The sequence below is a fragment of the Homo sapiens genome, chromosome 1, assembly GCF_000001405.40.
Source record: "Homo sapiens chromosome 1, GRCh38.p14 Primary Assembly".
NCBI classification, from domain to species: Eukaryota; Metazoa; Chordata; class Mammalia; order Primates; family Hominidae; genus Homo; species Homo sapiens.
The window spans coordinates 116581340-116595818 of record NC_000001.11 but is presented as its reverse complement, the minus strand read 5'-3'; the positions used below and the strand labels follow the sequence as shown (position 1 = coordinate 116595818).

Sequence of the window (14479 nt, the reverse complement as noted above, 5' to 3'; positions counted from 1 at the left end):
TTCTGATTTTCTTTAGCTCAAAACACCCTCCAATTACATATCCTTAAATACAGAAGCAGTAAGGGAAATGTTAGCACTCATTTTCCAAATGTTTATGACAATATCTTGGTTTGGCTATTAAATATTGTACATTAAAATTGACAAAGCCATAAACAAGCTTCCATGAGGACAGCCTCTAGTGGTGGAAAGCCGACTTGTCAGAGGGTGTATTCTGCTGGGATTTTACTGATGGGCAGTCAGGATGAATATTTAATACCCTCTGGATGTTGCCAAATCGGTTTTCTTCTATTTCTTATTGCTGACCCGGCAGATTGGGATAGCAGAGGGCTTTTCTTTGACTTCCATGAGTCCAGAGCATGTGAACACTGGCTCTCCTTTCACATTCTGAGGGATGGCTGCCCCATCCCTCAGAGGACTGGCCTCTGCCTTCTTTCAGGGGAGTCTGGGGTTCTCCTTCTTCCATCCCAGGTGGCTTCTGCCTGTTGTCTGTGCCAAGATAGAATGGGTGTCAGTGCAAGAGCCCTAAGAGGAGAGCTCAGCCCCTCCCAGATCCCTCAGGCCTGTTGTCATGGTAACACCGGGGCACTTGTTATTGGCATCAAGGAGCCAGGGTCACTGCCCTACCTGCAGACAGGTAAGGCAGGGTAGGGCACATCTGGGTAACCTTCATTAGCTATTTCCACCTGCAGACTCTTGCTGCTTTCCCCTTGCCCCTCCCTCCCTGTCTCTCTGCATGCATTGAGCACCTACTAAGTGCCAGGTTGCCATGCTGGTGAGGCTGCTGAGATGGGTGTGTCACGTTCCTGCCTTGCGGGCTCTGTGGGAGGCAGCAGGCCTAGGGACAAAGGAGAGCAGAAAAGCGTTACAGGTGTGGAGGCAGAGCCAGCACAGGGCATGAACGGGGGCAGGGGGCGTGAGGAGGGAATGGGGTAGGGGTGAGGGTGGGAGGTTGGGAAGGAGGAGTGGAGCATTTCAGGCTCAGAGAAGAGTGTGAATAAATATAGTCACGGAGGGTGGGAGCAGCATGCTTATCTTGAGATGACTAAAGCATGGGGTCTGGGGAGGGTTCACCCCCAGGCAAGCTGGCAGGGATCAAGAAGTCCCTTTTGTACATGGGAGCATGGGGTGAGGGTGGGCATATGTAATAGCTAAAAGCAAGGACAGACCAGACGGCCTGGGTTTGAATTCCAGCTCTACCACTAAGCCAGCTGTGTGACCTTGGGCAAGTGTCTTTATAAAATTGGGAATAATATTTATTTCATAGGATTGGTGAGGACCAAATAGTTAATATTTATAAAGTGCTTAGAATAGTGCTGAGCACATAGGACCAGATGAAAGTTTGCTAAATAAATGAGAATATCCTAAACTCAGAAATTAGGACTTTAGCTCATACCCAGATCATATACTCCATTTTTGTAATAATTTATAATGTTCCCTTTACCCAGAAATGAAATTCATATACAATATAACATTCCTAATCATATCTTTAAAATTTGCTATATTGTCCTAGTTGTGGGATAAAGAAAGTTTTTTTTAAAAAAAGTAGTTCATAGTAAAATAATGAGTTTCAGTGCGTAAATGCTCAGGACAGCTATGCTAGGAGGCACAGTCACAGTCAACGCTGTCTCTAAATGCACACTGACAGTCACTGTATCAGACTTGGCACCATGAGCAGGACTGCCATCCTGACAGGGTTTCTGAAGTCCTGAGTAACTCTTGCTACAATTCTGAACAAAACAAAGGAAAATCCTCTCTTGACTGACCTGGCATATTTTAAAACCATGCAAAATAAAAGTATTGTGATTATAGTAAAACGAAAGTAGGTTCTAGGCCCAGAGGCATAATTTTTGCCCATATGAATGTCATTCGAAAGTCACACAGGACACGAGGCAGAGTTTTGTTGCATGGAGTTGTCCCAGATACAATTTTACATCTTTAATGGCTTTATTCCATTGAATATATACCCCTCCCCAAATCAATATGGCAACCAGAGACCTGCTTGCAATTAGCTGCCTTATTGAGAACTGCTGTCACGGGCTGTGGGGTGGGCAGCCGTGGGCAGTAGCATGCCCCATTTGCCATTTAGGGAAATCCCCTGGCTGTGGCTAGGCTGAGAGGGAGGGAGTGTCATATGCAGGCCAATTACAAGAGCCTGAGAAAGAGATCATTGAGGGCCCAAATAGGGAATGGTCATGTGGAGAGAGCAGGGAGCCAAGGGGTGTTAAGGACAGAGGGACTCAGGGGTAGTAACAGTTTGACTGGCAGGCGCCTGTGCCACTGGCTTCCCATGCAGCTCACCCTGCATTCTTTCCTTGTCTCTCATCTGACTTGCTTCTCTCCACTTGAAACATCTCCTGCCGCAGCCACTGGCCGCCTCTATCTCTAGCATTACTGTCTGTTGTCTTTAATAAAGAGCAGTGTCTTCCTCCCTCAGTGCCCATCTCTTTGCACGTGCCACTCTGGCTGCTGCTCACAGCACTGCACAGAAACCACCTTCTCCAGACTTACCGGCAACCACCTCAGCAGCACGGCTGTTGCTTCTCAAACTTGAATGTGCATCAGAATCAATTGGAGGGCTCATGAGACTGCAGGTTGCTGAGCCTTACTCGCAGTTTTTCTGACTTAGCAGGGGCTGGCAGATTCCCAGGTGATGCTGATCTGCAGATCCATGGCGTGCACCCTGAGGGCCACAGGTGGTCAGGATCAAGTACAAGCTGCAGGCCCCTTGCAGTGTGGCCGAAGCTTACCTTTCTAACCTCATCCACTACACCTGAGCACTTGCTCCTCCTTGAATAGAGTGCACAGGGTAGTTGTCATCTTTTTCCTCTTGTCCCCTCTCTCTGGCGTGCCCTTTGATTCTCCTTCTCTGCTTGTTTCTCAGGGCCTAGCTCAGGGGCCATATACCTTTTGAAATGTTCTCTTTTCTATCAAAATCAGAATTGCCCCTCCTTTTGAAAAGTAACCACATTTATTCAACCATTCATTGATTAGTTTAACAATGATTGGGTCAGAGTCCCTGCCCTGCATATGCTTAGAATTTTGTAAGAAAGAGAAGATTTTAAGAATTACCTTCGTTGTAAGGCAGCAGTAACACAGCTATAGTAGAGCGTAAGGGAATCCTTTATTGAAGAAATAAATGAGTTTTGAGTGAGAAGAGCACGCACAGAGTGGAATCCGAAGGGAGGGTAGGCTGGCTGAGAAAGCTGCTGCTGGTCTCCGCTGCGAAGTTCTTCCCTCTTCCTGATGTCTCACCTTGAAACCACCCTATCCTGGCCTGTAACAAACACAACAGCCTCTCCTACCATACAAAACACAGATCTTCCAAGTTTTAATCACAAGCCTGGGAAGGAAACTCTCCAGTTGCAGAAAGAAAGGGCCACTCCCTCAAAGCAGGGCCTGGCCTCTGGGGGCTGCTGTGAAGGCAGCTGCTGGCGTGAGCTGGAGCAACTCTCGGACCCTCTTCCTGTCTCTTGCTGGATTCTTTCTTCCTCCTGCCAATTCACTGTTGGGGGTTAACCAAGCCTCACTCTTTTCTTTCACGTCTGCATTTATGGCCTCTCAAAGCCCATTCACTCACACGGCCAAGTCCAGGGTTTCTCAGGCTTGAAGCTACTTGTGAATCACCTGGGGATCTTGTTAAAGTGCAGATTCTGACTTACTGGGTCTGGGGTGGGGCCTGAGAGTCTGCATTTCTAACAAGCTCCCAGTGCTGCTGGTCCGAGAACAGCACTTTGAGCAGGAAGATTGCCACTTATGCTTGACAACTCCCATTCTAAGTGTTGAACTTTGAACTTGGGACAAGGCACAGAAACCAAAAAGGAATGAGAATAGCTAAAATTCACTGGGTGTTTGTTATATCCCAGGTTCTGTGCTAAACTCTTTTTATAGACCATTGCTTTTAGTCTGCACAAAACTCCTAATGGAGATAGAGACATTGTTCTTATTTTGCAGATGAAAACACCTGTGGTCTCTAAGTGGGCAGGGCTCTCCTAGCTCTGTGGAGGAAGGTGGTGCACGCAAGCTGTACACCGCCCAGGGCAGGGCTCTGGCAGGACATGGGAGGGCTCCCTAATTATATGTGGAGATTCCAGTCTCCCCTGTGCCTCAGGAAAGGTCCTACCTGCCCTGGAGATGTGGGAGGAAATCCAGAGCATAGAATAGGAGCTGACCCCTTGCCCACCTGTCAGACGTGCACCAAATTTAAAAAATGCCTCTCTTTCAAGCTTCTCAACACTTCACAATATTTTGACATGGGAAGGAAAAAAAATGGAAATGCTTTGAAACATTTCTCTTCCTTGAATTCATGTTCTCAGACCATGTGACTGAATAGAAGTTTAGTCATAGGATTCCAGTTTAACATATGCAGTTACTATAGCAATTGAGGTTTCCTTAGTAACAGTTGCAAAAATAATCCGGCCCCAATTAATAATACATTTTAAAGCTCTTTCTACTCCATGCTGAACAACCCAGTTTTTTTGGCCAAGAACCAGATAATTCAGGTGGTGTCATTTGCACTGATATAGATATCATTTGCATGCGGTGAATTGGGTTGGAAAGGAATGAAAAGGGAGCCGGTTGTTTCAAGTATTATAGGAATCCAATCTGAAAAGTCGACTGGCAAGCGAATGCAAATCTAGTTTCCAGAGCTTGGGAGCTTAATGGTAAACCCTGTCCTGGATTCCTAGTGTGCCCTAGAGGACTTTCTGCATTTGAAGAAGGGAGAAGGCAGAAGATTGGACTTGCTAACAAAAAAGATGAACCCGGGAGGGTGGGGCCGTGGCACACAGGATTTCTCTCTAAGTGGTGCCTGGTGTGTTCTTGATGGCGTGAGAAGGTCTGTGGGTTTGTGAATTCAACAAGTCTTCCTGGAGAGAATGTCCGATTTACTGCGGGAGATGCTCCGCAGTGTTGCTCAGTCATGGCATTGGGAATTGGACTTTGCCACACCTTGGCTTGCTAAATCCTTCCATCCATTCAGAACATTTGTCTGTGTGTTACAGGGAGACCAAGTGGCAGTCTGTGGCTTTCACAAGTTTTGGTTCTGTGATGCATGGGACTCAATCAACCCTTGATGCTGCCAAACCAAGCTTAAGCCAGCTGGCAGGCCAGGGTCATGACCAGTGGGCTGGGTCCTGGGTCTGGATGCAGTTCCTGGGGTTGAGCTGGACTAAAGAGACAAGAGTCTGACCAGTAGAGTGCTGGAGCCTGGCCAGGCATCCCTGCCCTGCCCCTGCCCCTGCCCTCCACACAAGCTCGGTTGGAGGAGGCCTAGGTTGCTGTCCCTGGGTGGAATCTGCACCTTGCCCCTGCTTTCTTTCTCAGCTGGGAAGTGGTTTGGTCCCTGTGGCGGAAAAACTAAGTGTGAAGAGAGTGGTGGAGGTGGAACAATTCTTGTACTATTAGTTCCCTAAGAGGAACTTAGAATTGTTTTTTTGTTTTTTTTTTTTCATTTTTAGTAGCGGGAAAGGCTTGGGTAGGGGAATGCAGAGCCGAGGTTAATGATGATGGGGTGGGTGAGATCTCAAATCACCTTCCTAAGATGGATTTCATTAGACCTTGGCTTCTTGCCACTGGCAAGGTGAACATCGTCATTAATTAGCTGCTGGGGAGGCGCTCCACAGGCTGCCCTCTTGTCTGTTTTTGGAGCAGGACAGTGAGGAGAAGGGAGGATTGTAGTTGGCTTTGCCTTGTCCCGTGGTTTACTGTCTTCTCAGCCTTCTCTCTCACTCCCCCAGAGGAAGCCCCCTCTCCCCCCGCCCGCAGCATCCTCTAATTACCTGTTGCCGTGTTTCTCCAACGTGCTCTCATTCGCTCACCCACTCGTTCACCTATTTCAGCAAACACTGATCAAATGCTTTCCTGGCCCAGGTGCTGTGCTAGGCTCTGGGGGTGCAGCGATAAGAATGTCCGCTAGGCAGTCCACCCCATGAGGGCTGGGACTCCGGCTTACTCTTCAGGGCATCCCCAGCACTTAGCATCCTGTGGGAAACCGAGTGGGCACTCCGTAAATACTGGCTGATTGAGTGGAAGGAGTTTGATCCCTGCCCTGGGGGAGCTCACCATCTAGGATATGGGAGAGAGATGTGAGGACACACAGCCCAGAGATATATAGAGGGTGCTGAGGAAGGGTATGGAGCCCAGGGGGACGGGAATGAGGGATAAGTGGAGAGAAGGGTCAGGGTGGGAGGTGGCAGAAGGAGACAGGCAGAGAGGACAGCAAGGGCAAAGGCCAGGGCTCAGGGAAACTGCACCAGGGGCATGCGCCTGTGGAGGGTGCCTGAGGGTGAGTCGTGAGAGATGAGTCAGGACACTTGGGTGAAGGCCAGATCCTGAAGGGACTTTGTGCTGTGAAAAGGAATTGTTTCTCTCTGGCCCGTAGGTAGTTCAGAGCCATTAAACTTTTCAAGCAGAGACCTGATATAGCTAGATTTGTATTTCAGCAGGATCACCCTTGGAGGCCCTGTGATGGTGGGCTGTGCAGGCAGTGGATAGGGGAGAGATGGTGAAGGCCTAAGCCAGGCGCATGGCAAGGAGGAGACAGGGAAGGATGTTTAGCGGTGGCCTGGGCTCCGTGCTGCCTTCCTCACACTGAAGCCAGTCGGTGTTAAATCCCCCAGGAACTGTGCTGGAGGAAACCTGGCTCAGAGCCTGGAGGTGGATGGGCCACGTTTCTGGGAGTCTGTGGTGATTCCTGTGTTCCCCTTTCCTTTGCAGTGACAAAGCTGCAGGTGAGCAAATCGAAGAGGACCCTCACCCTGGTGGAAAACAAGCCCATTCAGTTGAACTGCTCAGTCAAGTCTCAGACTAGCCAGAACTCCCACTTTGCGGTGCTCTGGTATGTCCACAAGCCCTCGGATGCCGATGGCAAGCTTATCCTGAAGACCACCCACAACTCCGCCTTTGAATACGGTACTTACGCCGAGGAGGAGGGCCTGAGAGCCAGGCTCCAGTTTGAGAGGCATGTGTCGGGGGGCCTGTTCAGCCTCACCGTCCAGAGAGCCGAGGTCAGCGACAGCGGCAGCTACTACTGCCACGTGGAGGAGTGGCTGCTGAGCCCCAACTACGCCTGGTACAAGCTGGCAGAGGAGGTTTCTGGGCGCACAGAAGTCACTGTGAAACAGCCAGGTAAGGCCGCAGGGCACGGCTGTCCTGGGCCAGTGGGTTTAGTGCAGAGACTGCCTGGGGGTGGGTGGGGATCTGTGGGGCTGGTGTGGAGAGACTGTCTGCAAGGTGCATGCTGAGTATGGGTGCAGGTACACGGACCATCACCCTAGCACACTGCAATCCCATCCATTTTACCTGCAGTGGGTCCTGATGCTGACGGCAGACTCATGGAAGCATCCTTGACTCTGCTTCTGTGGATACCATCTTCACCAAGGAGCAGGGCAGCTGTGGTTAGCAAAATGTGGCAAGGCAGGGTTCATGGCAGCTCCTGAATCTTCTTCTGGGTTTGCAGTTTGCACCCTGAATCTTGGGCTGACACCAGCTCCACACCCAGAGTTCCTACCTAGAAGGCATTTTCTGGTTTTATGCATCTGCATCCCCCTTCTTCCTTAGCTCCCAGCCCGCCCAGACAAGCCTTTCCTATCTCCAAACTGAATCATTCCTCCTCTGGCCCTTCCTTGATCCCATGGTGTAGCCCTTATTCCTCTCCCTCACAGGTGGCACTCAACCTCTGCCAGAATGCTTCCAGGGAGGGAGAGCTATTCAGTCCGCAAGCCTCAGTTCCATTTTTGGGCAGCTCTGATTGTTAAAAAGTTCACTTTCCTGTAATTTCCCTTTTTAGATCTGCCCCTGGAACAACCAAAGAGAAGTCTGCGTCATTTCCTTTCAAATACATGAAATGTATGCCCCTTCTCTGTTAAAGATCTCTAGTCCTTTCAACTTCTCACATAGTGTAGCCTGAAGGGCCTCTCCACCCCTCATTCTCACATCCCTGCAATTCGTTGTTGTCACTGCCTGTCCTTCTTGATGGGCCATGGGGGGTGCTGTGTTGCCACCCAGAGCCTCATCTCCGTGCCTTCGCTTGTGCTGCCCTCATTGTCTGAAATGTGTTTTTCCTGCTGCTTCTCCCTTGTCTTCACTCCATCCCTAAGACTTCATTCAGCACCACCTCCAAGAAGCCTACCCTGATTTCTCCCATACCAGTAGGGGTCCCTTCTAAAACACATAGCCTAATAATGGTTTGCATTTCTTCTGTACTACTCTGTAAGCATGTTGAGGACAGGGCTGTGTCTTATATCTTCAGCCACTGGCATGGTACTTTTAGTAAATATTGGTTGAATAAGGAATAAATGGTTGCTTTCCTTGATCACCCTAAGGCCTTTGTACTTATTGTTCTGTCAGCCTGGAACATGTTGGCCATAGATATTCATTTGTCTTGCTCTTCCGTGAAGGGGGATTCCTAGCTCATTTTAACTTAAATGTAGCCCCCTCATCACTCTAGATTTCCTTTCCCCGGCCCTTTCACAACACATATCACCACCTGACATTCTGTTAATTTACTTATTCATATATAAGTAATTATGAAGTATTTACTTATAATTGACTTATCAGTTACTATGTCTTATTATTTTTATACTAGAATACATATATATATACACACACACACATTTGTTTTCTATCTCTTCTACTAGAATTGAAGCCTCCTGAGTAAGCATAGGGACTTGGTTTTCTTCACTATTGCTTGTCTCCTAAGGAGGCCTATTCAGTAAGCCAGTGGAACCCGATACCAAACTCCACATGTGGCCTGTGCCCTGCTGAATGCAGTGAGTCTGTTCCCCTCCTTTGCCTGAGGTTATTATATTTCCAGAGATTCTCACTGGCCTCTCGGTGGCATTTTCTGCTAACCTCTGCTGGTGCATTAAACAGGAAGCTCTGGTCTGAAGTGATTCCCATTGGCATTTTCGGTGACATATGTCCTGACTTCAGGCCAGTCCCTGGGGCTTTTGAACATTGAAGGTTGTCATTAGGCCCACCAGTGTTCTTTTGGTTCCTATTTTTCATCTGTTTTCAGTTCTGATTATTTTCTCTACTGAAAGAACATGATCACCCCCACCACTCTGCATTTCCACTCTAGTCATCACCATTTTTTCCTTTCCTCATTTGTACTGAAACCAAGAGATTCTTGGAGGATCCTAAATTTATTGAGGGGATTTCCCTCTCTGAGACTACAATCAAGCTAAGTGGGACAGTGCGGAAGGACTAGAAGGACCCCCCTCAACACATTTAGTGAAGTCTCTGTTACAGTGAACTTTAACACCGTAAACATGGAACTCAGAGGACACCGAGTAAAACAGCTTTCCTCGTTTCTTTCTTTGTGTTGTTTTCTTTCTTCTTTTTTCTCTGCTTCTAGTTCTTTCCTTTTCCCTGCTGAGAAAGCCTACACTTACAGAGCTTTTGGAAAATACATACACACACACACACACAAAAATCCCCCCCAAAAAAACAAAACTCAACAAAGAAAATAACCTTTCAACCCTGAGACAACCAGAGTCAATATCTTCTTTTACATATGTATTTTTTGGATGGGGAGGGAGAAAGGGAGAATGGTTATTTAAAATATATTTTGTTATTTTATATTTTCTGACTTTTTAATTACAAAAGTAATCATGAATGTTGTAAAACATTCAGGCAGTATTGAAGTGTGTAGAAAGTAATGAGTGAAAGTGCCCAACCTCCCCTCCTCTGATGTCACTCAGAAGTCTCATTCCTGAGGTGCTATTGTGCATTCATAGTGTCACAGCTTCTAGATACCTCTGGTCCTGATAGACTCATTTGGGCCCTTGTGAAATTACAAGCATGCCATCGGGGCATGCTGTCATTAAAGACATTTTTCTACTGGAGGAGACTCTGCTTGGCTGAGTTTTCAAAGCACCCAGTTCCATCAGTAGCAATCTTTTCTTTTTCTTTTTCTTTTTCTTTTTTTTGAGACAGTCTCACTCTGTTGCACAGGCTGGAGTGTGCAATGGCACGATCTTAGCTCACTGCAACCTTCACCTCCCGAGTAGCTGGGATTACAGGCGCACACCACCACACCTGGCTAATTTTTGTATTTTTAGTAGAGATGGGGTTTCATTGTGTTGGCCAGGCTGGTCTCAAACTCCTGGCCTCAAGCGATCCACCCACCTCGGCGTCCCAAAGTGCTGGGATTACAGGCGTGAGCCACCTTGTCTGGCAGTCTTTTCTTTACTGATGTCATATCAGTTCCATTCCCAACCTGAGAAGGAACCTGTGTGGGTTTTTGTAAGGATGTTGGACTACAATTCGTAGGGCTAACACATGAACAGATTAAACTGGCTTTCCCCTGCAGTTCTTTTGTAGTTGGTGGCCCAGCATTTTCTAGCCACCATATGATCAGTTTTAAAAGTTTACTCTTGCTTTTCAGAGGTTTCTCACCATCCCCTTCCCCCGCCCTTCCCAGCCACCTGCCCCGGCCAGCGACATGTTTTGTGGTCCGTTGTCATTTGGATGTGCAGTCTCTACAGCTTGTGCTTGTCCTCCTGTGAGCATCAGAACTGATGAGGGCTACGACTTTGGGACAGCTGTTATTGTAACATTGAGCTCCTTGAAACCCAGGCATTCCGACACACGATCAAGGAACTCAGAATGTTTAGGGAGCCACATCTGAGAAACGTTTCTCCTAATGGAGTGTGTGCTGCCGTCCTTCTGTATTTGGAAGGCATCCATTCACCTACCCTGGGAAAGGGTGCGTACGAATTGCTTGTTGTCCTTTTGTCGCTGACGTCTCTTCCTTACTGTTCCAGACAGCCGCCTGAGGCTCAGCCAAGCCCAGGGGAACCTGTCGGTTCTGGAGACCCGGCAGGTACAGCTGGAGTGTGTGGTTCTCAACCGCACCAGCATAACCTCCCAGCTCATGGTGGAATGGTTTGTATGGAAGCCCAACCACCCTGAGCGGGAGACTGTGGCCCGCTTGAGCCGTGACGCCACCTTCCACTATGGAGAGCAGGCAGCCAAGAACAATCTGAAGGGGCGGCTGCATTTGGAGAGTCCTTCCCCCGGCGTGTACCGTCTCTTCATCCAGAACGTGGCTGTGCAGGACAGCGGGACCTACAGCTGCCATGTGGAGGAGTGGCTGCCCAGCCCCAGTGGCATGTGGTATAAGCGGGCAGAGGACACCGCTGGGCAGACAGCTCTGACAGTCATGCGACCAGGTGAGGGTCCACGTCCCCAAGCTTCCACTCCCTCTGGTGTTTCCCATTTAAGTATACTGTTTTATGCACTGGATAAAATTAGTTTATTAATAAATTATTTGCAGTTAAATATATGAGTGTCTACATGTATATGCATTTATATTCAAAATTGCCTGAATTTTTTTTCTTGTGAATGGAAAATTGCACGTCTGGCTTTGGCCTAAGGTGATTTGATTTCTTAAATAGAATAAAATCTGGCCATTAATTATTCCAGGTCATAGAATATTTCCTTTTTCCAGATTTGGAACAAAGGGCAGATATGACAAAAATCTTGAAACAATAACCATGTTGTTGAGAAAATTCAGCTTGTGGATTTTCAGTGGAAAGTAATCGATTTACATGCTTTAAATAGAAAACAATGAATTGTGTGCAGCCTTCACTCTGTCACTTCCCAATACTTTTTTTTTTTTGAAACGGAGTCTCACTCTGTCACCCAGGCTGGAGTGCAGAGTGCAGTGGTGCGATCTCGGCTCACTGCAACCTCCGCCTCCCAGATTCAAGTGATTCTCCTGCCTCAGTCTCCCAAGTAGCTGGGACTACAGGCTCATGCCACCACACCCGGCTAATTTGTGTATTTTTAGTAGAGACGGGGTTTCATCATGTTGGCCAAGCTGGTCTCGATCTCCTGACCTCGTGACCCCCACCACCGCCTCGGCTTTTCAAAGTGGTGGGATTACAGGTGTGAGCTACTGTGCCTGGTCCCAATAATTTTATTAGTACTAATAACTATTCTGTGTGGCCTTTTGTTTTTCTTGTCTTTATTGCTGTTTCTAAATATCTAAATGCATGTAATTACTAGGTATAATTGTTGTTGCACATTTAAACACATAATCAAAGCTACGATGTGCAGGATTCCCATGTCCTTTGCAACATCACAGCATCATCCATTCATATTAGAATGAAAAGTCGATGGTTCCTGTAAGGACCTGGAGGAGAAGTGAATTCGTGACCCCATCAGTATCTTGTTTGTTTTCTGAGCATCCTGACATTCACATTTGTGGCCTTGGGCACTACTGGAAGTTTTCACCATGTCTTCATGTCTGAGTAGAGCAGCTCATTTCGTTGGTGGAATATTGCATCTCCAGGGTGGTGCCAGGTCTCTTATGTCATGGAACATGCTTCAGGGAGGCACTGCAGCCTTGGTTATAGGAAATGGGCAGTATCTCACTCGCCTGTGTCTTGCCTAAACTGCAGGGAACATTGCCTCCACTTTGAGTTAACTCCTATTTTTCCGTGAGCTTTTACTTATTTATATTTTTTGCTTTTTACCTTGCCTAGAAATGGCTGCATGTCTTTTCCCGAAGGTGAAATTGTAGAGAATGGCAGCTGAGTGCCCCCACTCCCTCAACTCCCTCCCATTCTGCAGGTCAGCACACTGAGGCTCCCAGATGGAGTGGGAGGAGACAGATGTTTATTGAGTACAGCTACATCCCAGCCACAGTTAGGAGACTTATGTTCAGTCTTCACAATAACTCTGAGTGGTAGGTTTTACTCATGAGGGACCAAAGCATGGAGCGAATCACCACCCAGCCAGCAGGTGCAGGCAGAGTGACCACCCAGGCTTCCCTCCTGCCACACTGTGTGCTTCCAACATGGACCTGAACCGTTAGCCTTGTGTCTGCCTCCTGTTCAACCCTGTGAGCAAGCCTGGATCAATCTGCCTTCCCGTCCCTTTGTCCATCTGTCCCTGATTGCATAAGTTGATTGTACTAATTACAAAACATTGGAAAACAGAAAAGTATAATTTTGAAAAGAAAGGTTAGCCATAATCTCACGGCCTACAAATATCTACTATTAATAATTTGGTGTATATTTTTTGGTCTTTGCCTCATGTCTTCATATTTCCTCTGTCTGTAAACAAACTCAGGATCTTACTGTTTTATGTGATCTTTTTTCCCACTCAACTTTCTTTTATGAGCGTTTTCCCATGTCTGTGAAAGCATTTCATAGCCACCATTTTTACTGGTTTCATAACATTCATTGTGCAGACGTACTTCAAAGATTTTTTTCGGAGGGATACGTTAAACACATGGAAGACTTGAAATAATATAGCTCTAAAAGTATTGTTAGGAAAATAATCACCTTCCACTGCTGAGAGTTGACATTCACAATAATCTGAAATACATGGAATGAAGGGCTCCCATCCTCACTAAGATTGCAGATGAGTCGATTAGTAGTTGTGTTGGGCTCACACAACTGGGGAAGGGAGAAAACCACAATCATCACACACAGGCCAGGAATTGGCGGTCACAGTGAGATCCAGGGGAGCTGTTAGTGTCACGCAGACAGCAGGGGCAGAGGTCGGCATCTTTCCATGGCTTATACTTGGAAAAGAAGAGAGTATTTAAGTCCAAACAGGGAGGAGGGTTGGCATATTCTAGAAGGGGGCAGATTCAGGGAACTAAATTGGTAGAGAAACATGTTAAGGGGAGAGAGATTGTGGGAAGGTGGAAATTAATTTCTGTCGAAAAACTTGTATTGAGTCATTTATGCAGACAAGGCATTTGAAGGGGCCAAGAAAAATGTTAAGCGGTTAGAAGACAAGAAAGCAAAGGGAGATTGAAGAGGGAGGAGGTGTTTCTGAGGAGCTCAACTGATGGTCTCTGGCCATCTTGCCCCTGGCCATGATAAGTTCCACTGCACATCGCCCAGGGCCACCTCCCTTGACACCTTAGCCAGTCACCAGGAGCGTGGGGATACTATGTTAGACTCTGGAGGAGAAAAGCATGGGGTGGGGGGCTCCCCTTGGTCTCTAGTAGGGCTCTCTAATGGCCTTGGAGTTACAACTGAGGAGTTGAGTGAGTTTGAGTTACCTGTGAACTGATTGAATAGTCCCCACCCGGCCATATTCTGTTCTCAAGCATGTTCTTGTCCCTGAGAGAGCTGGGCCTGCCACCTGTAGCTGGTTACTGAGCCCTCCTGTGCCAGCAGTGCACACTGAGATTCCAGATGGGTGCAGGAGGTGGGTGCAGAGGGGCTTGGCAGAGCCCCCACAAGAGCAATGGGAAGCCCAGCCTTGTGTTAACCTGTGAGCGACATGTTCACCTGTGAGCGACACTAAGCCAATTCATTGAAAGCCCAGGACAATACTTGGAAAGTGCTCCTATTTGGTCTTCATCCAAGTAGGATCTGATTTGGTATCTCTACTTCAGTTTACATTACATTGGCACCTTTCATGAACATTTCATAAGCAGAGCCAAAGGGAGGCCTTTTAGGAGTTAGGGAGTGAATTATTTGTTTAGAACATATTACAGTGAGCCAAAAAA

The 14479-nt window shown here is 47.5% G+C and overlaps 1 protein-coding gene and 1 long non-coding RNA gene across 10 annotated transcripts in view; one reads left to right on the top strand and one right to left on the bottom strand.

The window, feature by feature from the left end:
• The window catches only part of IGSF3 (immunoglobulin superfamily member 3), a 93358-nt gene that overhangs the window by 71937 nt on the left and 6942 nt on the right, over positions 1-14479 (top strand). For all 9 annotated transcript variants that reach the window (XM_047419052.1, NM_001542.4, XM_047419070.1 and 6 more), the window contains 2 exons: positions 6715-7125; positions 10767-11174. In XM_047419052.1, coding sequence (XP_047275008.1) covers positions 6715-7125; positions 10767-11174 — 819 coding nt within the window. The remainder of the gene's footprint in view (positions 1-6714; positions 7126-10766; positions 11175-14479) is intronic.
• LOC105378924 (uncharacterized) lies at positions 78-2668 on the bottom strand. The gene is made up of 3 exons (XR_947737.3): positions 2509-2668; positions 751-835; positions 78-486 (listed from the first exon to the last, which is right to left on the bottom strand). It is a non-coding gene; the product is annotated as an uncharacterized LOC105378924 (long non-coding RNA).